The sequence below is a fragment of the Homo sapiens genome, chromosome 16, assembly GCF_000001405.40.
Source record: "Homo sapiens chromosome 16, GRCh38.p14 Primary Assembly".
Lineage (NCBI taxonomy): Eukaryota > Metazoa > Chordata > Mammalia > Primates > Hominidae > Homo > Homo sapiens.
Genome location: NC_000016.10, coordinates 25,941,787 through 25,966,722, shown reverse-complemented (window position 1 = coordinate 25,966,722; position 24,936 = coordinate 25,941,787). Strand labels below are relative to the sequence as shown.

Below are 24,936 nucleotides of genomic sequence, written 5' to 3'. Positions count from 1 at the left end.
CTATCTCCCTGCCACCAAGCTATGCAGAGAGCAGAAACAGAGAACAGTGATATAATTCTCACCACCACTCAAAGTGAAACTTTGAGATGAGCAACTTTCAGATGCTCATCTTCCTGTTTACTCCCTAGTCAAAAGTCAGTCTGCCCCAGCTGCTGGCCAATATCTGTAAGAGCTCATGGTACCTATGAAGAAGAAGGAATCCAGTGGCAAGCAATAGAGCACCTCAGGTTGCTTCAGGTCACAGCCTGTGGGTGGGAATACCAGGCAAAGTCTTCCAAGGGAGGAGAGCAGGCTTGATGCTTGGCATGGCACAGCCACACTAATGGGCTGTACCAGGAGTCAGAGTATGGTTTCTAGGGGCTTATTCCTGGGGTATATACTGGTCCCCAGCAACCTTCAAATAGAGAAGAACTGTAATATCATTACCTAGTAGAGGCAGACATAGCATAATGGTCAAGTGTGCAGGCACTGAAGTCAGAACTGCATGAGTTTAAAACAGCCAGCTCTATTGTTTTCCAGCCATATGACCTTGGCCATGTCCCTTAATCTCTGTGGGCCTCAGTTGCTACACCTGTGAAGTAGAAGCAATGATCATGCCATCTTAGTGGATTCCTATGAAAATTAAATGAGATACTCCATATAACGCATTTAGAATAGTGTCATGATATGGTATATGAAGGCTCTCAACAAATGTTAGTTACCATTTTTCAAAGTAGAGATACAATGTTAAATTAAACAACATGGGGCCAGGTGCAATGGTTCACACTTGTAATCCCAGCACTTTGGGAGGCCCAGGTGGGAGGATCACTTGAGCAACGGAGTTCGAGACCAGCCTGGGAAACACAGCAATTCCCTGTCTCCAAAAACATTAATTAATTAATTATGTACAGAGGAGGTCCTTGTGAAGAGTTCTATATGTAAAAAGACATAATGTTGCAATCAAGTATATTTGTAAGTATTTTGTTCATTATGATTCTGGGTAAAGAATAAAATGTCTTAACTCAGTACAGATAGGTGAACATGACATGGGACATGAGAAGGAAATTTTTCAGTTCATAAGATGTGTGAAGACACACGAATGATAAAAAGGAATGGACTTGCAAGGTCGAGTTTTGCAGAAGACAGTGATGGAGATCAGAGGCAGAAGAGTCCATTACCCACAGAAGGAAATGCATGAGGCTGCAGACTCAATAAATTCTTGGGAACAAAATACCAAACATTGAGAATTCACACAACCTCAGCTGTTCTGACTGAGGAAACTCCTCCCGTTGTAGTCCCCAGGATCTATTTTTCCCATTTATAGGAACTTTTTTTTTTTTTTTTGACAAGAAATTTCACTCTTGTCACCCAATGGCACAATCTTGGCTTACTGCAACCTCCGCCTCCCAGGTTCAATTGATTCTCCTGTCCTGTTCTGGCCCTAGGAACAGCAGAGCCCCCTCTGCTCATGGCTTCATGAGTGGACTTGCCTTACCAAGGATCCCGAATGCTGAGGCCAATGTTCCACTCACTCTGCCTACACCTTCCCTGAAAGGAACCAGATGTTTAGAGACTGTAGGGTAGGGATCCTCCCACCCGCACCTCCCGAGCTCCTTTTCTTCATAGAATACTTGGTGCGCATCTCCAGAACTGAACTCATCACCCTTTTTTATCTGTTACAATGTCTCGCGTGAACATGTGAATGCCTTTAGAAAAGAGAATATGCCTAATTTATTTTTATGTACCTAGTGCCCAGCCTATTGCCTGGCATATAGGAGGTATTTATTAAATATTTGCAGAATAAATGGGATGAAATGAATAAACGGCTAAGTAACCAGTTCAGTAAAATTACATGTATATAATACACTCGAACATCACTTAATCATTATATCACCAAGATAATTAACAACATGAAATAATGTTTATAAAATAATGTTAAGTAAAATTACAGGAAACAAAATGATGTGTACACTATGATTGAACTGATGAGGAAATGTTTACTTCTGGGCCGGAACTGGAAGAAAAATATACAAGAATCATTGTACTGATTAATTGTCCTTAACTGAGCGGCAGGATTCACAGGGACTGAGCGTAAAGGCTTTGGAGCCAGCCTTGTCTGGGATCAAAACCCAGCTCCATCATTTCCTAGCTGGGGTCTTTGAGCAGGTTATTTAAAGATGCCTCAGTTTTCTCCTCTGCAAAATGAGAATAACAATAGGACCTACCTTATAGGGTTGCCCTGCGCATTATATAGGTTGAAACACATCAAGTATCTCACATGGTAAGTACTCAATGGTACGTACACTTTCATGATGAGAGGGTTTGGGACATATTTTTATTATTTACTTATTTATATCTATATATTTATATTTCAACTCTTAGATTCTGGGTGTACATGTGCAGAGTATAGTGTGTGTTGCTGAGGTCTGGAGTACAACTGAACTCGTCACCCTGACAGTCAGCACAGTACCCAACCGGTAGTTTTTCAAACTGCATCCCCCACACTCCTCCCCTTGTAGGCCCCAGTATCTATTTTTCCCATTTCTAGGGACCTTTTTTTTTTTTTATGAGATGGAGTTTCAATCTTGTCACTCAGGCTGGAGTGCAATGGTGCAGTCTTGGCTCCCTGCCACCTCCTCTTCCCGGGTTCAAGTGATTCTCCTGTTTCAGCCTCCCAAGTGGCTGGGATTACAGGCATCCACCACCATGCCCAGCTAATTTTTGTACGTTTTTAAAGTAGAGACGGGGTTTCATCATGTTGGCCAGGCTGGTCTCGAACTCCTGACCTCAGGTGATCTGCCCACCTCGGCCTCCCAAAGCACTGAGATTACAGTGTGAGCCACCTCGCCCAGCCTTAGGGACTTTTTAAAAAATGTGTGCTTTGATTTTGTTATATTGAATGGTCCAGTTTCATTAAATCCTGCCCACAATGGACACCACATCTCCTGGCCAGCTCGTCCCCTCTCACCACAAGATTAGTCAATCCTCAGCAAAGCTGTCCTGATTCAGCTAAAATACCTGCAGGTCTGCAAAGGACAAGAATGTAGAGCTAAGAGGAAGAACGTTTGCCTCCAACATTACAAGACTAAATTATTTGATGATGAGAGTAAAATGCTGATGAAATGCCTTTGGGAGTACATGCTGTTGTGTCAAAATCATTGAAGATATTTGTTCTGTCGAGGAATGGGAAACTCAGGCCAGGAAGAGAGTGAAAACAGGACAGGAAGTCAGAAGGGCAAGTTTGAGGTTTAGCTGTACCAATAACTGGCTGAAGTTTCTTTCTTATAGTGGGAATATTCCCAATATTCTAGAGCCATACAGACAAGACTAACAATGGGAGCAGTATTTGGATAGTCAGTCTAAGACACACAAGAAGGAGGGCATGAAAAAAGTAGAAGTTGGGGGAGAAAGTAAATCACTGCAGACTTGACATTCAGCTATCAGGAACATGACGAACTAGAGTTAGTCAAGAAAAAAAAAGACAGATGTGGCTAACCCTTGCATTGGGGAGAGCATGGGTTCATGAGTTGAGTTTGGATGTTCAAGAATCAGGCTGTTAAATCTCTCTTCCTACAATTTGGGATACGGGGATGATGTCAATGTGACATCAAGTAAGTGATTCTACATTTGCTCAAAAGTCCACCATTGCTTTCTAGACTGGATTTAATTTAATTTAATTTTTTTCTTCTGCTACCCCTGCTTCAGAATTTAACCCTGGCATTCTCTTCGTTTTGATATAAATACACCTTCCTCTACATCTTGGGTGGTAGTAGGTAGTGGCAGTAGGAGGAGTAATGGCACTCATAGTAATAGGATTGGTTGAATTCTTATTAGGTGCTGGACACTGTTCTAAGTGATCGTACATGCATTAATTTATTTAGTTACAATAAACTTATGAGAAAGTACATGAGAGACTCTTGGTGCTTGCAAATGACACCTCCACATCTCCCAGCCTGCCTTGGTTTGGTTGGTTAGGTATCTTATTCCGAATGGAACAGAATAAAGTGTGTAACTCCAGGCTGAGAGGGCTAAGTATCCACCTCACCTTCATGCTATTTTCAAGGCTGGACTTCAAGGCTAAAGATTCCAAAATAGTGGAGCCAAATGATGAAGGGGCTGGATCCCTGAGTTACTGCTTGGAGGAGAGCCACCCCGGAAAAATGTGAGACACTCATCAGTTAGTATAAGCAAGAAATTGTTACTGTGGTTAGGCACAAATATTGTTGGCTTGTTTTTTACAGAAGCTGGCACAAATTCATTACCCTGACTAAAATGTAGTCATTATGCCAACTTTAAAGATGAGAACACTGAGGCAAAAGTGGATAAGCAATGTATCCCAGGTCATACCAGTGAATGGCATAGATGGGATTTGAACTCAGGTCTCTCTAGCTCCAGAATTTATATTCTTTCTTTTTTCTTTCACTTTGCTCATACTTTCTGTGGCTCTCTTAAGATTTTTCAAGATGGATTTCCTGATGTATCAGTTCCAACAGTTAAAGTGACCCCTACAGCGAGAAAAAAACCCTCCTTTTCCCTGGATATTTGGGAATGAGATCCATGACTTCGTACCTTGTTTTCTCCCTGGGTGTATACAAGAGCTGCCCATACCAAAAGTTCTTCTAAAGAGGCTACTGGGTGTGTTCAAGGCCTACTTGTCTGCAATTTCCTTCTTTTTATAACCACATACTACAACCTGGCTAAAAAGAGAATTAGTAACCAATAAGCTTGCAAATTATCTCAAAGCTTAAAGATTTTTATTATCTAAATATCAACAGTATCATCTTATCTAGCATACTTGTTCTTCACAGTTTCAGAGAAAATGTGCATACATAATTGGGAGCTAGACAGTAGTATAAAATAGAGGTTAATCACATGAACTTTCTAAGTAAGAAACTTTAAGTGTAAGTTTTATGATTTTAGGTCATTAATTTTTTTTTGTCCAACTCTTTCATTGGCTTGTAGTGTGACCAGAACAAGTTCCACAATCTACCTGTGCATCAATTTTTTCCTTTTTAGTAATGAATTTATCTCACCAGGTTTCTCTGATATTTGAATAAAATAATGCTTGGGACTCCTATGTTTGAACTGGGATGAGTTGGAGTTACCCTCCGACACACTGTTGCTTATTGCAAGTAAGGAACCCACTCTGTATAGTTATTAGTAATTCTCATGGTATTATTCCTTGAAAGCAGAAAACACATTATGTTCATGTTCATAGGCCCATTGTCTGGCAAGAGATAGGGCACCAAGTAAGTGCTCAATACACTTTTTAGAAAGGAATGAATGAATAAATCACATGAGTGTGAATCTACATGAGTGGAGACAGAAGGAATATGACTTGGAAATGCATAAAAGGCATGAGTTGCAAATGCCAAAGATGCAATAAGGTACTAATGGACATCTTTCAGCATTTTCATATCATGGTTAGCCTGGGGAAGAGAAACATTCCTACTTCTCTTCTCTTCTTACCTCCATTTAACATTCTCCTGCCTTCCACACAGAAGGAGTAAGTATGCATTCAGCAGATCCCAGGATACATATTGGGACACTTTTGCTGTTGGTTGTGGCTACCGTAATAGATTAGCTGAAGAGAACAGATCTTGCTCTCTCCTTTCTTCCAAACACATGGAAGATGGAAGATATATTAAACTGTCCCAGAGACTGCATTGAGGCCAGTTATTTCAGAACATGCCAGTCTATGTAACGAAATAAGTATACTTTGGACTATCAGAAGAGGTAGGAGTGGGAATGAGGAGAAGGCAATAGTTCAAATGCTCCAGCTTAATTCTCTGAGGTTCTCAGCAGTGAGTTTGGGGATTGAGCCTTCTCACCTTCCTACCTCCAGTTAGCAATTTCTACCCATGTTTCCTTGCACAGATTTTCCTTTATTTATATCTCCTTCAAGAGCACATAAAGAGGGTTTCAGGCTAAGCAAGGCAAACATACAAAATATCACTCTGATTTTTAACATTTATTATCTCATTTTGAACTCCCCAGAAACTCTACATTTTGCTAATATTACTGAAATTGTCTCTATTGCAAGATCTGGAAGCCCAGGCTCTGATATATAAAACCACTGAGTCAAGATCATAGAGCAAGTCTGTAGCCAAAGTGGACATGTAACTTAGACCTTCCAATTTCAAACCCCAAAGAATTTGTAGCACAGTTCTTCCAGGATGAGACAGATACTGGGTCTCAAACTAATCATCTTCTGGACTCACCAGAGAATGAGGTTCCTTCCTCATTTGTTTTATTGAGAAAAGTAGTATGTGAGAAACAACTGTGATGATGAATCACGCAGAACCACTTTAGGAGTTGGGTTGAATCCCAGTGTTTATATTTTCTATTCTCCTTTAAGGTACCTTGTACTAGTCCATTTTGTGTTGCTATAAAGAAACACCTGAGGCTGGGTAACTTATAAAGAAAAGAGGTTTATTTGGCTCACAGTTCTGCAGACTGTACAAGCATGGTACCCACATCTGCTCAGCTTCCGGTAAGGCCTCAGGAAGCTTTTACTCAGGATGGAAGGAGAAGGGGGAGCAGGTATGTCACATGGCCAGAGAGTGAGCAAGGGAGAAATGGGGAAGGTCCCAGATTCTTTTTTTTTGAGACGGAGTTTCACTCTTGTTGCCCAGGCTGGAGTGCAATGGCATGATCTCGGCTTACTGCAACCTCTGCCTCCTGGGTTCAAGTGATTCTCCTGCCTCAGCTTCCCAAGTAGTTGGGATTACAGGCACCCAACACCATGCTCCACTAACTTTTTGTATTTTTGGTAGAGATGGAGTTTCACCATGTTGGCCAGGCTGGTCTGGAACTCCTGACCTCAGGTGATCCACACACCTCGGCCTCCCAAAGTGCTGGGATTACAGGTGTGAGCCACTGCGCCCGACCCCAGACTCAACAACCAGATCTTGCATGAACTAATACAGCAAGAACTCACTCATTACCAAGGTAATGAGGGAGCCACTCCCATGATCCAACACCTCCCACCAGGCCCCATCCCCAACATTGAGGATCACATTTCAAGATGAGATTAGGAGGGGACAAATATCCAAACCACATCATACCTAGTCTAGATACCCTCCCTAGAGATGTACGCTTTCTGTGTTCCTGTAGGCAACTATATTTTCAAGGATGGCAACAAAAATTGCCCCTTTTTCACAGGCTTTTCTGCAATGTGATCTGGCCACTTCCCCATGAAGAGATAGAGTTTAGTTACCTGCACCTTGACTCTGTGCTGGCTCAGTGACTTCTTTGTAAAACCACCCCTATGGGGTTCACAAGAATTGCATGCCGGGTTCTGGACAGAGATGTAGTTATGATTAAACATTAATCAGGCTGCACTCTGCCCCACTTCCTTGTTGCTAAAAGTCACATAGCACTGGATACTGACATTGCATCCTCATTGTTCCTATAGATAGGATTTCTGACATTAGACTCATAAGGCTTTTGTTTAAGGATTGTCTAAAATGTTTTTCAGACCCAACTTTCGGCAACCAGTTTGAAGCCCTCCTCCCCTCAAGAGGAACGGGATCAGGTTGAGAACACAGCTTCTTCCTTACCCTGTCCCATGACTTCACCCGGCACTCTTCAATAAATAACAATCTCCACACTTCGGCCCACTCCAAAACCCTTAAAAATCCTAACCCTAAATTCCTTGAGGAGATGAATTTGAGATTCACTCCCAACTCCTCATGTGGTGACCTTATGATTAAACCTCTTTCTCTACTGCAACCCATGTCTCAGTGTATTGACTTGCTGTGTGCATTGTGCAATGAACTTATTATGGTTACGATACAATGTGGTGAACGTGACATTCTGGGATGTCAGTGATCACACATTTTGAAGGCTTGGCACCATCTGCTTTTGTGCCTTGAGGGAAGTCGGCCACCTTGTAAGACTTCTGATGACCCTGAAACCAGCATGCTGTGAGGAGCCAACACCAGCCATGAGGAGAAGCTCCGTGGAAGAGAACTACCCTCCAACAACTGAGCTCCCAGCTGAAAGCCAGTACTGGTTTGTCAGCCTGTGAATGAGACCCTTACAAGTAGATCCTCCAGCCCCAGATGGACTGTTTCCATTGACACTACATAGAACAAAGAAAAGCCTTTCTGGCCAGGCGCAGTGGCTCATGCCTGTAATCCTAGCACTCTGGGAGGCCAAGGAAGGTGGATCACCTGAGGTCAGGAGTTCGAGACCAACCTGGCCAACATGGTGAAACCCCGTCTCTACTAAAAATACAAAAATTAGCCGGGTGTGGTGGTGCACGCCTGTAGTCCCAGCTACTCGGGAGGCTGAGGTGGAGAATCACTTGAATTCAGGAGGCAGAGGTTGCAGTGAGCCGAGATCACACCACTGCACTCCAGCCTGGGTGACAGGGCAAGACTCCTTCTCAAGGAAAAAAAGAAAAAAGTCTTCCTAACTTCACTCTGTTCTAATTGCAGAATCATCAACAAAAATATGACTGTTATTATTTGAGACACTAAGTTTCAGGGTGATTTCTTACGCAGCAAAGATAACCAAAGTTTCCATGGCATCTGCCTTATAACAACAGTTATTTATCTGAACATTTATTATTGCTGCAATATTTCTCTCTCTTCCTAATGCGAGTCCCAGGGCTTAGTCCCTGTGGAGTACCCAGAGTCTAGAACAGTGGTTGGCACACAGTAGGTATGCAAAGAATCCTAGTGGAAAGAAGTATGCAGTGACCTTGAGCAAGCTTCACTCTGCCTGACCCGTAGCACACACACCTGAAACAACCCTTCCTGGCTGGAGAGTAGTGTGAGACCTCCTTACAAGAAGAGTCTAAGGAAACACAAGCACCTGTTGATCCCCACACCAGCCAACAGCCACCTGTTGATCCCCACACCAGCCAGCAGCCAACTGTCTGTCTCCACATCTACCTGTATCTCAAGAATTCAGAGCAGGCTCCCAGAAAACACCAAACTGAGCCAAACAACAAGTCTCCTTTATTCATGGTAGAAGTTTTGTGATTTAAAGTGCATGCATTAAGAGAGCTATGAAGGGCTGGGTGCGGTGGCTTACACCTGTAATGCCAGTACTTTGGGAGGCCGAGGCGGGCAGATCACCTGAGGTCAGGAGTTCAAGACCAGCCTGGCCAACATGGTGAAACCCCATCTCCACTAAAAATACAAAAAATTAGCGGTGAGTGGTGGCCTATGCCTATAATCCCAGCTACTCGGGAGGCTGACGAAGGGGAATTGCTTGAACCCAGGAGGCAGAGGTTGCAGTGAGTGGAGATCGCGCCATTGCACTCCAGCCTGGGCAACAAGAGCAAAACTCCATCTCAAAAAAGAGAGAGAGAGAGCTATGAAGGTTCACTGATCTTTCATAGGCTACATTGCTGCAGATAAAATTTAATTAAACAAATCTGTGCAGTAATGTGCTCACCGCTCTGAATCACATGCAACTATTTTCCTTTCCAGGCCTTTGCCAGAGAAGAGGCAGGGGAAGGGGTTCAAGCTGCTGCTGTGCTATGTGGCTGAAACATGGGGGAGGTTTTTTCTAAAGGAGGAATCAGAGGGCCTTTGGAAAAGCCATCAGTGAGCAACTGTGGCCAGCCCTGACCGCAAAGCACTGGAGTCATCATTCTCCAGCCTCTTCCTGCCTTCACCACTCTCTTTGGGCTCTGATCGTCTCTCCACTGAAATATTGTAGTAGCCTCCTTGTCTCCAGATCCACCCAGACTCAACACAAAACCCATGCTTTTTTTTTTTTTTTTTTTTGAGACGGAGTCTCGCTCTGTTGCCCAGGCTGGAGTGCAGTGGCTCAATCTTGGCTCACTGCAAGCTCCACCTCCCGGGTTCACACCATTCTCCTGCCTGAGCCTCCCAAGTAGCTGAGATTACATGCGCCCACCACCAAACCTGGCTAATTTTTTGTATTTTTAGTAGAGATGGGGTTTCATCGTGTTAGCCAGGATGGTCTTGATCTCCTGACCTCATGATGTGCCCGCCTCAGCCTCCCAAAGTGCTGGGATTACAGGCATGAGCCACCACGCCCAGCCAAAACCCATGCTTTTAAACCAGGTTTTCCTTTCTTTTTCCCCAGCTGAGAATTTATTGTCCACATGCAGCCATATAAAAGCATAAGTTATGATTTGTAACATTAGACTTTACTGAATTCATTTATCAAATCTACACATCTTTTGGAGGAGTATTTGAGTTTTCTAGGTATAAGATCATATCACTGGAAATAGGAGTAGTTTGACTTCCTCTTTTCCAATTTGGATGCCCTAGATTTCTTTCTCTTGCCTAGCTGATCTGCCTAGGACTTTGAGTATTAGGTTGAATAGAAGTGGTAAAAAGGGGCATCCTTGTCTTGTCCCCTAAATAAGATTCTATCAACATAGAGCAAACAAGAACAACTTCTGGGTAGGTTACCAACATGGGCTGCTATAGCCTTGAAGTATGAATAAGACTTTGCTAAGACAGCAGTGAAAAGAAGGTGCCTAGGGCGAGGGACCAATATGAACGAAATCATGGAGGCATTTGAAAAATGGCAAACAATGTTTCATGTTGTTGAAGAATAAGACGAGAGGATGCATCTCTAAATTTCAGGTGAATTTAGTCACTCTTTTCTCTACATACCTTTAAAAAGTACACATTGGCTGGGCATGGTGGCTCACACCCGTAATCCCAGCACTTTGGGAGGCTGAGGCCAGCAGATCATTTGAGGTTAGGAGTTCAAGACCAGCTTGACCTATATAGTGAAACCCCATCTCAACTAAAATACAAAACACTTAGCCAGGCATGGTGGTAGGCACTTGTAATCCCAGCTACTTGGGAGGCTGAGGCAGGAGAATTGCTTGAACCCAGGAGGTGGAGGTTGCAGTGAGCCGAGATCGCACCACTGCACTCCAACCTGGGAGACAGAGCAAGACTCCCACTTAAAAAAAAAAAAAAAGTATACATCACATTGTAATATAATTGAGTATATTTCTCCCAAAACACTGCAAGCTACAGAACCATGTCTTACTCACACTGGTATCATTTTCTACCATCTAGTGCCTAAAACACACCAACCACTCCTATAAATGCTTGTTGAATGAATACATGAATGATATTATATTATTTGAAGTGCCCTGGGAACACAGATGCCACTGAAAAACTTGTGGTCAAGTTCTCAGAGCATGGGGGTTAGCATGATGCCCACAGATCCCTATAATTTGCATACTCATATATTTGCAGAACTATCATAAAGGTTCCTACTGGGAAATTCATTGGAAGTGTTAGCAGTAAAGGCAATTGCTTAAAACTCTAACTTTTATGGGTTTCCAGGAGACCAACTGTCAAGAATGAAAACTTGCACTAAGAAAAAAGGTACTTGCCAATTGTGGATTAGAAACTCATTCTGAAGGCTATAAAGCAACTGACGAGGTTTATTGCACCTTTAGGACATTATGCAGAGGCTGTCTTGTCTTGTCCCCTAGCCTAGTGCCATAACCCTCTACAGCATCCCTGACCCATTGCCAACTAGCCTCTCTTTGAACAAGTCTAGGGTAAATACCACTGCACCAGAGGTCCAGGGTACCTATAAGGTTTTCTGGTCACAGGTTCAGCAACTCAAGAGGAGCTTTGAATGACAAGGGAGGGATGTAGCAGAGTTTACCGAAATACCTTGTTCCCAGAGTCACCCTGCTAGACACCAACACCCTGCATGGGACCACCCATTCTCTCAGTTAGCATTGACATTTACAGAGCTTCTAGGTGAAAAGCTGCCACTGACCTTTGTTTCAAGCCTCTAACTCAGCTCTTCATGTTGATTTTTATAAAAATTATTTCATAAGCATATTCATTGGTCTCTCTCATCCCAGGCTTCTGTCTTTGCCAAGACTCAGGCTCTCTGGCATTAGACAGGTTGAGAATCTCTTATATGAAATGATTGGGACAAGAAATATTTCAGATTTTTTTTTATTTTGGAATACTTCCATTATACTTACCAGCCAAGCATCCCAAATCCAAAATTCTGAACTCCAAAATGCTCCAAAGAGCACTTCCCTTGAGAGTCACCTTGGTGCTCAAAAAGTTTCAGATTTTGAAGCATTTTGGATTTTGGATTTTTGGATTTGGGATGCTTAATTTTACTGGATTCTTTCAACCAATTATAAAATAAGATTTCTAAATTTTCACTATAACATAGTGATTAAGAGGTGGGAAACTGGAATCAGACATCAGTGTTCAAATCTTGGCTTCTTTTTCTTTTATGTTTTGTTCTTTTGTTGTTTATTTATTCATTTATTCAATAAATATTTTCTGAGTGATTTCTATGTATCAGACACCCTATTAAGGAGTGGTCAGTGTGATCAAGCAGCTAGAAACCGTTCTGTCTCTTCTGTTGTAAAGCTTATGTTTGGCAGGGGTAGAAAGGGAGGAGAAGAGGGATAATAAACAGGTAAGCAGATTCAAGCTAGTTGCCTTTACTATCATTATTACTATGTGATGCAGCATTTGGGATTAGGTTTGGCTTTGAGTGACAGAAAACTGAACACTGGCTTTTAAAAAGTTAATTCTTTTTCTTTGACACAAAGTCTAAAGATAAGCCATCCAAACCTGGGTTGATGGTCTCACAGTCAGCAAGGAGCAAAGCACTTCTTTCATTTTGCTCTGCATGCTCAACCTCTTGGTCTGTAGCAATTGCTGCCAGTTCTCCTATATCCCCTAAGTATTCACCATTTCTAAACATTCAGATAGCTCCTTTTTGCAAGCACCTGAGACTCTTCCCCTTTCTCTGCTGAGCTGGGTGTTCAGTCCACGAAAAGGAAACTGGAAGTGCCAGAGAGGTAGCACCCGCAGGAGCACCCCTCAATCAATGGTAGACAGAACTGGGTGTATAAATACCCCAGCTCCCTCACCTTTCAAGGTGGACAACTCTGAAGTATGTGCTGCACAGTTCACCAGAGTTCCCCAGCAGGATGGATCCAATATAATTTGTTCATGAACACACCCAGAATTGGCATCCTTCCCTTCCTGCCTCACTTTCTCACTCCTGACCTTACCAGTGCTTCCCGGAACCACTTGGCAAATAAATCACTTGCTCTCAAACTCTAGAGTCTGCTCTTCAGAGGGAATCCAATTTATGACATGGTCTAAGATGGCCACTCATGCTCCACCCATCTCATCCCCATTCACCCAGGAGGACAGAGAAAGCAATGAAAAGGGGTGGGTCCCCTCCCTTTAAAGAATATTTCTAGGGAGTTTCCCAGGATACCTTTGCTTACACCCTATTGGGCAGAACTTACATGGCCTCACTGGGTAGCAAAGGATGCTAGAAGATGTAGTTCTTATTCTGAATGGTCACATGCCCTGTGAGGTCAGGCTTTCTAGTACTAAGGAAGAAGTGGATAATGGCTATAATAAGCCAGCTTGTCACTGTTCAAGAAATAGGCAAAGCAAAGCTTTGTGGAGTAGGCTGAGGACTTACGAGCAGTTGTTTGGGTTCCTGATGAAGCATAAATAGCATTTCACAAAGATCTTCCCTGGCAGCCCCTGAAGCCATCACACCTTGGTGCCTGCCTCCCCACCTGCTCCTCGACACAAGCTAAGCATAACTTACTCACTCTCTCCAATCCTGGGAGACAAGCCAGGGCTCAGCTACATCAAACTGTGCCAGGATGCAATTTGTATATTAAAGTCACTGGAGCTGGCTGTTACTTCACCTTAATTTTAGATAACCAAGAAGGGCCATACAGAAACCTAGCCCTCAAAAGGTCTAGATGACTCACACAGAGTCGTGACAGATGCATTGGAAAGATGTAGGATGGCACATGGCTTGTAACAAATGAGGGGTCCAGAGGTGACAGCCACACTGGGAAGCTCCAAGGACACTGCAAACTCATAGAATTTCAGGGTCACAGGGAAGTGGGGAGGTTTAAGGAACATCCATCGAATGCTTACTGCATGCAGAAATGCACTATCCATGAAGACATGTAAAATTCCCAAGCCCTGTATGAGGCGGGTTTGGCACCATTTTAAAGATGAAGAAACTAAGGCTTTGGTGGATAGGATAACTCACCCTTGCTCACACAGCAGGTAGGAGACAGACTGAAAATGATAGTAATAACAATACTACTAATAATGCATATTTAAATTCTTTTTATGTGCCAGGCCCTGTGCTGAGTGCCTGTGATCCTTAAGCCATTCAAGCCTCACAATAACCCCTGAGGTAAGTACTATTATAATTTCCTTCTTACAAATGAAGAAACTGAGACTGAGAGAAGTTAAGAGCTCGTAAAGAATAACACCAGGATTTAAGAGAAGATCTTGTCCAATCAGATGCTTGAATCCCCCTGATGGAGTTGCCTACCTGTGGCCACAGGGCCATGATCTAAAAGTGTTCAAGGTCAGAGACTGCATACCCCCCTATATCACTCCATTTCTTTCCTGGAGGAAGCCAACTGAACAGTCACTGTTTTGAGGCCCAGGACTGTTGCACCCCATGGGAAGGACCATTACTTACACTGAATGACCCATAAGAAAGCTCGCCCTTGGACCAAGCCTGGAAAACTGTTTCTTTAAAGGATCAGACAATAAATCTTTCCAGCTTTATGACTCATGCTGTCTCTGCTACAACTACTCAGCTCTGTCACTGTGGCTCAAATGCAGCCATAGACACTACATAAACAGTTGGGCATGAATGTGTTCTAATAATATTTCACTTATGGACAATGAAGTCTGAATTCTATATGATTTTCATGTACTACAAAATATTATTCTTTTTTTTTCCTTTTTCTTTTTTATTTAATTCTTTTTTTTAAGTTCCAGGGTACATGTGCAGGATGTGCAGGTTTGTTACATAGGTAAATATGTGCCATGGTGGTTTTCAACCATTTAGAAATGTAAAAATCATTCTTAGCTCGTGGGCTGTACAAAGTCAGGTGGCAGACTAAATGTGACTCACAGGCTATAGTTTGCCAACTCTTGGTCTAGGGTCTAGAAAAGTGTCTGGGAAAACTGGTGCTTAGGAGCCCTGGTTTTCTTTCCCACTTAAAAAGATGCTAAAGGATATGGCAGTGAATTGTTTTTGTTATAAAGCAGCAAGAAGTTAGAGAATTGGAGTATAGTTTGGGGCTGGCGCACCTTAACCCCAAGAGCTGAAGTACTGATGTCTGCAACATAGAGAGTAGAAAGTGGGATACAGATAGGATGCCTGAGCTTTGCTAAGTAGGTTGGACATTCTTTAAATTGCCATTTGGGTGTATAGTACCAGGTGACAGTTCCTGCAATTAGTATAATATGTTAGTGTTTTATTATCTTGTATCCTCATCAAGACACATTTAGGAATGTATTATTATCTCCATTTCATAGGTAAGGAAACCAAAACTCAGAGAGGTTAAGTGATGTGCCTAATATCAACTCGATTGTAGAAGGAACTCACACCCAAGGTTGCCTAACTCCAGTTTCTATGCACTGTGCATTCTGCAGAAGATGAGCAGAGACACCAAACCAAGGTCAGCTTCCCTCTGGAAAAACTGGCAGTGGCTGCAGGCTGGCCTGCTGCATATTCATTGCTTGGGGCCTCATGTAGGAATGCCTGCTGCTGACTTCAGCCTCTGATCTAAATCCCCTCTCAGCTTCCAGTTCCACCCAGCACCAAATGATGCTAGGAGGCCTATGACCTAGCAGCAGGTGGAGGTCAGTGTTTACAGAAGGAGGGATTAATTTCAAGACCCAGTGGGGTGCACCTGGATATAATCCCTGCTTCCTACAAAAACAGCTGGGAGTCTACATGCTGTTTAGGACAAGGAGTGCCCAGTGGGGTGTGGACTGAGGAGTTCATCCACAGACTATGTTTTCAATAATAATAGGAAGAGTGATCAAAGCTGGCGTCCTGGAGTGCCTATCCCATGCTGAGCCTTGGTCAAGGGGCATCACATATGTTATTTGACTTAATCCTCATGACAACCCCCGGAGGTGGGGCTTATTGCATTTACTTTGCAGATGAAGGAACTCAAGCTCAGCTGATCAATGCAACATGCTGTGCAAGTCTGTGGGACTCCAAAGTCGATGCTCTTTTACCTCCTGGGCTCAGGAATGCAGTCTCCAGGTGTCAAACCTAGATCTTTATCCTTCTTCAGCTTGAGATGGTGCAACAGCTACTGTCTCAGGTGTTTGAAATGACTCAACAGAACTGGTTGAAAATAAACATTTCAGGCAAAAAATAGTTGGATCTGTATGGCATTAAACAAGCAGTCTGACACTTAACCATTCATTCATTCATTTATTCATTCATCCATCCGACCATCCATTCATCCAAAGATCTATCCATCCACCCAATTAATGAATTATTCATTTAAACAAATAATCAACATTGCCTGAGTATACCCTATTAGCCAGACCCTATAAGAATTCTGGGGAGGGAAAGCACAAAAATGACTAAGATCCAGTCTCTGTTCATTTACAGTTTACATTGGAGTGATGTGATGTCTCTGAGTGTGTTGATGGGAGTAAGCTATGGAAAAGAAGGCAGATGAAGACCCAGGCCAAAGGACCACTCAAGGCCAGTGAGCAGATGGGTCATCTAACTGGGCATTGATTGAGTCTGTATCCCTTGAGAGCCTCCATTTTTTTTCCTCCAGCCCACCGCCCTCACTGATGCCAAAGCTGTCATTCTCCAAAATTTAGGTCAGGGAATAGATGTCACAAGCTGGTAAGACACAGGTAATTTGCGAATTTGTGAGGAATTCTCAATCTGAACATTCCTTCTGCAAGGGGTGTGCACTAGGAGGTACTGGGCGCACTGCGGCTGCTCAAGGAGACCCTGATGACCCTCCCCAAGGGACAAGATTCTCTCCTTGAACAAACTTCGGCCAGCATCCTCTGGGACCCATTTTTTAGTAGGCTTCCCTTGGGGCTCTGTCCTTGACCCATTTAGTCTAGTTTTAGCAAGAATCCTGCTTGGTCAGTTTAGTGAAAATCCTCCACCCTTGATATGTGATCAAATTCCTTATTCCCCATCCTTGATAACCAATCACCCTGTCCCACCTTCGACAAGAATCCTGCTGAGTCCATTTAGCCAGAATCCCCCTTATTCATGATATTTCTCCTTAGTAATTTTTCATTCACTGACCCCTCACCTTGCTCCTTGGCCACAAATCTCCACTTGTCTATGCTGTAGCCATAATAGAGCCTAATTCTACACTGAAGTCTCTCTTCCCCTATTGCAGTAGTTCCCAAATCAAATCTACCTTCACCACTTCAGCCTCTGTCCAGCTCTGGTTTCCTCTGACACACAGATGCCATAAAAGAAAGGTCCCAGTGGAAAAGAACATTCACTTGTTCAATCAAAAACATCACTAGAAATCATGAACATAGAGAGTAGAAGGATGGTTAGCAGGGACTGGGAAGGGCAGTGGTGGAGCTGTTGTGGAGGTAAGGTGGGGACGGTGAATGGGTACCAAAAATAGTTAGAAAGAATGAATAAGACCTAGTATTTGAGAGCACCATAGGATGACTATAGTCATGATAAATGAATTGTACATTTTAAAATAACTTAAAGAGTGTAACTGGATAGTTTGTAACTCAAAGGATAAATGCTTGAGGGGTTGGATACCCCATTCTCCACGATGTGTAATAAACACATTGCACGCCTATATCAAAAAATCTCTTTTACCCCATAAATACATACACCTACTATGTACCCACGAAAACTAAAAATACTTTAAAAAAAAAAATTACCAGATAACACTTGCTCCAAAAAGCAGTGGGACCCAGCTGTTCTGCATCTGAGGGAGTCATAAATATCATCTGCAAAGTCTCTGGGCTGATTGTTAGTTCAATGTTATCATCCTCAGACCCCAGAATTTATGAATTGGCAAGATATTAAGTCTTGCTTTGCTTCAGTCTCCTCATCTGTAAAATATGCTTAACAACGGCATTGCTGCACAGTGCCACGGAGGTCACGTCAGGTGGTGAGTGTAAGTGCTCCGTAGAGTGGTTTTGTCACTATAAGTGCTCAGTAGGTACCATGATGATGACTACTGCAGCAGCCATCAGCATTAGGCATAAGAAAAGAAACTAGGTGATAGTGGCATTTAGCATCAGAATCAAAGAACATTTACGGAATGCCTGGAGTTTTACACCATACCTAAACTCAAGAATCAATACAAGTGATTAGAACAAAGGGGTACAGACTGGGCAATATTGTGAGAATGCAGCAACAGGAGAAATTATTTCCAGCTTGGGGGATGAGAGATAGTCAAAGAAAGCAGTGATGCTGGGACCATGTATGACTGGAATTTATACATGAAGAGGGGTCGAGTGCATTTCAAGAGGAGAACACACACAGGGGAAGATGCACGGCCCCATCACATTGCAAAGCTAACACCAGCCAACAACCTTCATCCAGAAGCCTAAAATCCAAAATGCTCTGAAAAAAAAAATTGCATATAACTAGTTTTTGTCCCAAACTGGAGCTGCTCTGATTTAAACATGTCTACAAATTCTATTTTCCCATTTTGAATGATCACGTTTCATGGCAGAATATACAAGAGTTTGGTTATGGGCTGTTGCCTCAGAATCAGGTCAGTAGCTGTTGCACCGTCTCAAGCTGAAGAAGGATAAATACTTAGGTCTGAGACCTTGAGACTGTCGGAGCTGTTCTGTATTATATGGTGTACGTACCTCATTGCCTTTCTAAAGTAAGAATAGTTCTAAATTTCAAAATATGTCTGGGTTTAAATAAGAAGATACGAACATATATTAATAATACCTAATATTTATTAAGCACTTATATTCCAGGCACTTCTCGAAGCACTTAACCAAGTTGATCCTCCCGATGGAGGTAGGCACTGGTGTTATCTTTTTTTTTGCATAGACCATGAAACTGATGTACCAGGAAATTAATTATTTGCCCACACTTGCACAGCTGGAAAGTTTTAAAGCCAGGACTCAAAGCCACAAAGCATTGCCTCGAAGCCTGCACTCCTAAACATTACACTTGACCACCCACATATACTATGATGTAAGTAAGAGCAAGTGCAATTGGTTGCATTATTAATTCAAAATTCTTCCATCCTTCCTCTCTCGTTCCAAAAAAGCTGTACTTCCCACTGCACTGACACTGGGCTTGCTTTAGCCAATGAAATGCTGACAAAGATGACATGAGCAGAGACTATAAATGGGCGTTTGTGGTTTGGCTTGGCTGCTTATACTTGTGATTTTGCATTAAAAAAAAATAAAGCATGACCTGGGTGACCGCATGGATTGCAGAATAAGAAACAAATAAATGAGACCTGAACGCAGTCCACAATCTGAGGCAGCACTGCCTGAGCCAACTCACAGACTCATGAAGGAGAAAAATGAATGCTTGTTGTGGGCCATTGAGATTTGGAGTTTTTGCGGAGGGGGTTGTTACACAGCATTATCACAGCAATCACTGACTAATACAACAAGTTGTTAGACTTGCTGGGCGTGACATGGATAATGGAGTATTTTCTGAGATGAGGATTTAAAGTTAACATTAGCCATATTGGGTCATGTCCTAAAAACAATGTTGAAGTTTTTCAATTTCATCCTGACAGCAATGGAGAGTCTTCAAATGATTTTATGGAGAACCATGAAATGAAATGCCTTTGATTTTCCACATTGCGATCAGAGCCATCTTTTCAAAATATAAATGGAGTCACTAGCTCCACTCCCCATCACCACACACACACACTTGCTTAATACCTTTCTAATGTATTCCATTGTTTTTAGGACAAAACCCCAAACCCTTCACATAATCCAAGGCCCTTCTGTCTGGACCCTGCTCAGCTCCCCAACCACATTGGGACATTGGGTGTTATGCTTTCCCTTGCATGCTGCTCCCAATCACACTGCCCTTCAGTTCCTTGAGTGTGCACTACTTTTTTGCCACAAGACTTTTGCACCTGCCTTCCTTGCTGCTAGAAGTGTTTTTTTTCCCTATCTCTTTGCCTACTTACCTCTCACTTGCATTGTAACTTCCTCCCAGAAGCCTTTCCTGATCTGTTTGGTTAGGTAAATTGCCCCCGTTCCCTATGCTCTTAGCACCATGCACTTCTGTTACATTTCACTTATTGCAGTTGCAATTTCACATTTGTGCATAAAATTTGATTTGTGTCCATGTCTGCCACTAACTTGTCTGCTTCCTGAGAGCAGCCACAGGGTCTTTTTTCCCCCTTGTCTTTGTATCCACAGCATTTGCACACTCCCTGGCACATTGCTGATGCTCAGTGAAATCTGTGGAGTGAAAGAATGCTGTGGGATGATAGCTTAGATAGCAGAGAAGACAATGGATTACTCTGGTTGCCCAAAGCACACAAGAACATAACTAATCCCTCTTCCTTACATCAGCCCTTTCAACTCTCCCTTGATTTCTCTGAGACTTTGCCAAGACAGATCTCTCACAAAGCAGCAGTGTGGTGCGAATGCATTATCAATCTGTTATTATCCACCAGGAAATATGACCTTAACACACTGCAATATGGCCAATCTATGTGATGGGTGTTCATCCCATGTCCCTCAACATCTGCACTGTAATTTTACAATCCAAAAGCCTCCTGCAATTGGAAGAGGATGAAAACATCTGGATGTTGCAAACTCTCTCGACAGGTTGTCTACACCATCACCTTCAAAATCGATGCACAAGAAATGAGTTTCTTGAACAGCAGAAAGAGTGGCTGGCGGCAGAACATACTGTTTAAGCCCCTTCATAGTATTAAGCAAAGACTGTCTGGATTTCCTTTGGAAGTGACTAGGAATTGGGATCTGGCAATAAAAGAGACCATGGGTAGGACAGAATGATAACTTCATTTTGAATGGGTGCTAGGGAAAAAAGGGAATCTATCAATCATGTAATATTTGTGAAATGAATAAATGAATTCAATAAATGATCAATATGCTAGGTTCATTTTGGTCAGAAGATGGAAGCCTGTATCTGAATGAAGGTGGAATGGAAAGGTGGGTTGTTACACATGGGCATTATGGCAACATGGAGAAACTGAGTTTTGGAAAATGGGCAGTAGGCAAGTAGAGTGCCAGGGTATATGATCTCATTTCATTACAATCCCAAAATCAACTGCAGTGGTATCACAGACTGAATAAATCTTGCAGAACAGAAAAATCAAGTAGTTGATAACAAAAGTTGGCGAGGACATTGCAGTAGTAGAAACTGTACTGACTGCTTTGAGAAGCACCTTGGCATTATCTTTTAAAAATTATGACACATATTTACTGTGATGCAGCAATTATTATTCTCAGAATATACCAAAGGACACTCACCCAGGTACAAAAGAAGGTGTATAATGAGAAGTTCACTACAGTGCGTTCATCATGGCAAAAGCCTGGGAACCAAATTTAGTACTAGTGGACTGACTAAACAAACTCTGGTGTAGTCATCTATGGAATATTATGCAATCATGAAAAATGCATTAACATGTAAATACTTCCAAGACATATTATTGAGAAAGGGGGGAAAAAGCAATTTATCAAATTACATGGCCAGTATGTTATAATTTTCTTAAGTACACACACTCAATATGCACAATAATATACAATATGCACAATAATAATATTGTGTGTTGTGCATTTTCTGCAGCCATATATTTGTAAGCATGTAGGAGATGGTCTGATACATTATACTATAAATGGTTAACAGCAGTCATCTTTGGGGATGGAGTGGGAACTGGAATTAAGTACAGGAGATCAGTGGGAATTTTAGCACTATCTAATATTCTGTTTTGTTTTGTTTTGTTTTCCACAGAGGATAATATAGTAACATTTTATGAAATTAAAAGAATTTTTTAAAGTCGAGTTGTTCAAATAAGCATGAATGAGTAACATGGAAGCCAAGGAACTCAGTTGAGTGAAATCATACTTGAAAAGGGAGATTCCCTCAGAAAGACACCCAGGTTTCCAGACGCCTGGCTGAGGCTTCTGGGGGCTTTTATTGATGACTGGTCATTGGGCACCCATTCCTAGCCCTGTGCTACCTCTGGGTATCAAGGAACTTATAATGAAAGAGGAGGCAGTTAGAGGACGGGTAGGAAGATAGAGAGGGAGAGTCTTGGGAGAAGAAAAACACCCATGGGACCACACCCACACCACACCTGTTAGGTAGCTCATGGGGTGAAATGTAGTTAAGAATCTCCTCTTATGCCAGGATGTTTGCTCAGAAGGGAATGTCTCAACTTAGGCCCAGTCATAATAAATCAATGTAAATGTCCTTAACTTAACCCAGCTCATTACAATATCATTAACAAACATTAAAATTGTGGTTTTAGTGCCTACCCCCCAGGGGGTTTTGCTTAGGCATTCATGGGTAATAACCAAGATGGAGTCACTATGGCCAACCCCAACCATGTGCAGGTGGCAACATTCCCAGGGGGGAACTTTACCCCTTTCATTAAGGGAGAATCCAAAGAAAACTTCCTTGTTTCTGCCACATAAAAGACCCAGAACTTTGCTCCATTCCTGGCAACCCACTTTGAGGTCCCCTCTTGCTGTTGAGGGCTTTTCCGTCACTTAATAAATCCTATTCTGCCTTACCCACTCTCCAGTGTCTGCGTGCCTTATTCTTCTTGGTTGTGGGACAAGAACTCAGACCTGGCTGAACTAGGGAGTAAGGAAATTGCCGCACTAACAAATGTGGAAAAAGAGGCTCTTTCACTGTGGATCAGCAACTAGGGACAAGAGAGGGGAGGGGAGGAGGAGGAAAGTAACAAGAAGCAGGGAAATTTACCACATCTCTTAAAGAAAGATTTCCCCAGAATCATTGCTGACACTAGGCACATTTAAAGAGTTTATAAATCATCTGAAAGCGATTTATAGTTAAATATCTAAATGTACGAAGTACTTTTAAGCTCTGGTGTAGGAAAATGCCAAGCAGATAAGGATAAACAAGCCACGAAGCAGAAACCATCATAGGTCTCACCCAGTCCAATAGTTCTTAAATCTCACCACGTTGTTGTGAGGATTAAATAAGACTGCTCATGAAAATGCCCTTGGAAAATTGTAAAATGGTATACAAATGTTGCTTATTACCATGATTATGTTGTAGTTGGTTTTACATCAGAATTTGATAACAGAGCTAAAAATGGAATTCGTAATGGAGTTTGGTATTCTATTCAGCCATCCACCCTGACTGTGAGTACTTTACAAGAATAATTTTGCTTTTACAAGAAATCATCCTCAGTATTTTTTTTTAAACATAAGTACTATACCCACATTTAAACATTTCAGTAATAGAACAGACATAAAGCCACCCATATTTTCAATAGCCCCAAAATGTCATCCAGTATTTGCCATATGAGACTTTTTCTGCCTTCCTTTTGAGTCTTTTCTCATTAGTGTCTTTTACATAGTGGTTAAGCACTGTGAGACTCTACACTTTGTAACCTGCACTTACCACTGATATTATAAACAGCACCTCATGTTGCTCCAGAGTATTCAGAACTATTCCATATTTCCTGGATTCAATGTATTACAATTTATTTAATCCATCCTTCATGTTGGAACACCTGTTATGTCCTCCATATATATTTCCAAGGGATATCTTGGTACAAAAAGTTTCCATGCCCCAGATGCTTAAGAATATCTCAGCATTTAAAATGTGGCTGGTGAGAAAAATAAAATAATAAAATAAAATATAGTTGATAAGTGGCAATTGGCAGGGGCTCAATTTTCCAGATTTTTATTATTAGAATTATGGTTATGGTTAGTGTTATCATTTTGCTTTAATGAAGAGGATTGTTTTTTGAACTGCTTGGTTTATTAACGTTTTAAGATAAAGAAAGAAAACACTCTCCAGGTACTACAGAGTTTATTTTAAAAGCAAGACAGGCAGGCCGGGCATGGTGGCTTGCACCTGTAATCCCAGAACTTTGAGAGGCTGAAGTGGGAGGATTGCTTGAGGCCAAGAGTTCAAGACCAGCCTGGGCAACATAGCAGGATTCTGTCTCTAAGGAAAGTTTTTAAAAAATTAGCCAGGGATGATGGTGGATGACTGTCATCCTAGCTAATTGGGAGGCTGAGGCAGAAGGATCACTAGAACCCAGAAGTTCGAGACTGCAGTGAGCCACAATCACACCACTGCACTCCAGCCTGGGCAACAGAGAAAGACCCTGCCTCTAAAAAAAAAGGAAAGAAAAAAAAAAAAAGGAAGTGATGACACAGTAGAATAATATAAAATAAAGGCCTCAAGGACCTAAGGAAATAATTCTATGAAGAGACAGCCTGTTTTAAACAGTAAGCCAGCCTGGGGTGATGAAAGTGCTGTTTTTCAGTACTCTTTGAGAAAGGATTTTGAATGGCAGAGGACCTCTCTGTACTTCCAGATGACCCTTCTCTCTACGGCTGTCAAAGAGGAGGAAATATAATAAGATATGTGATTATAACCCTTAGAGACTCATTGCTCAACAAACATTCAGAACTCTTCACTGGTTGGTGACTCACTTCTTCCAAGAATTCTATCGGCCAGATTGTTCAGAATCCACTCTTTATATCATTCATTGTGCAATGGATATCCCATCATCTCTTGTTTCTCCTCCCCCCAGTCTCCAGGTTAGGGGCACCAGGACCTACAACATGCTTGAGTTCTGAAATCCATCAATTGGTACAGGCCCCACTATCTATGTCTTGCTGCCAACAGACCCAGGACCAAGTGATGCGAGCTGATTCTATTCATCCCCCAAATTCTTTCAACCCCTACATTAAATGAGCTAATTCTATCCTATGGTCCAAGCTGTTGTTCCTTTGTTGAGTCATTAAACAAATATTGAATGAGCCCCTATCATGCGTCATAACTGAGGATAAAAGAGAGGACAATCAGACAAAGATCCTGCCCACACAGAATTCTATTCTAGTTCTGGGAGATAGAAAATAAAGAAGTTGGCCAGGCATGGTGGCTCACACCTGTAATTCCAGTACTTTGGGAGGCTGAGGTGGGAGGATCACAAGGTCAGAAGATTGAGACCAACCT

At 42.2% G+C, this 24,936-nt stretch overlaps 1 protein-coding gene across 1 annotated transcript in view, besides 3 other annotated features; it reads right to left on the bottom strand.

Moving 5' to 3' along the window:
- HS3ST4 (heparan sulfate-glucosamine 3-sulfotransferase 4) overlaps positions 1–24,936 on the bottom strand; it is a 445,727-nt gene that overhangs the window by 170,963 nt on the left and 249,828 nt on the right. The gene's annotated exons all lie outside the window — the stretch shown is intronic.
- Positions 14,518–15,370: an enhancer, noted in NCBI's record as "OCT4-NANOG-H3K4me1 hESC enhancer chr16:25962674-25963526 (GRCh37/hg19 assembly coordinates)". NCBI's record gives its function as "activates a minimal SCP1, AML or CMV promoter by ChIP-STARR-seq in naive H9 embryonic stem cells {active_cell/tissue: H9 hESC(naive)}" and the evidence as "EXISTENCE:reporter gene assay evidence [ECO:0000049][PMID:30033119]".
- Positions 15,371–16,224: an enhancer, noted in NCBI's record as "OCT4-NANOG-H3K4me1 hESC enhancer chr16:25961820-25962673 (GRCh37/hg19 assembly coordinates)". NCBI's record gives its function as "activates a minimal SCP1, AML or CMV promoter by ChIP-STARR-seq in naive and primed H9 embryonic stem cells {active_cell/tissue: H9 hESC(naive and primed)}" and the evidence as "EXISTENCE:reporter gene assay evidence [ECO:0000049][PMID:30033119]".
- Positions 17,745–18,268: an enhancer, noted in NCBI's record as "NANOG hESC enhancer chr16:25959776-25960299 (GRCh37/hg19 assembly coordinates)". NCBI's record gives its function as "activates a minimal SCP1, AML or CMV promoter by ChIP-STARR-seq in primed H9 embryonic stem cells {active_cell/tissue: H9 hESC(primed)}" and the evidence as "EXISTENCE:reporter gene assay evidence [ECO:0000049][PMID:30033119]".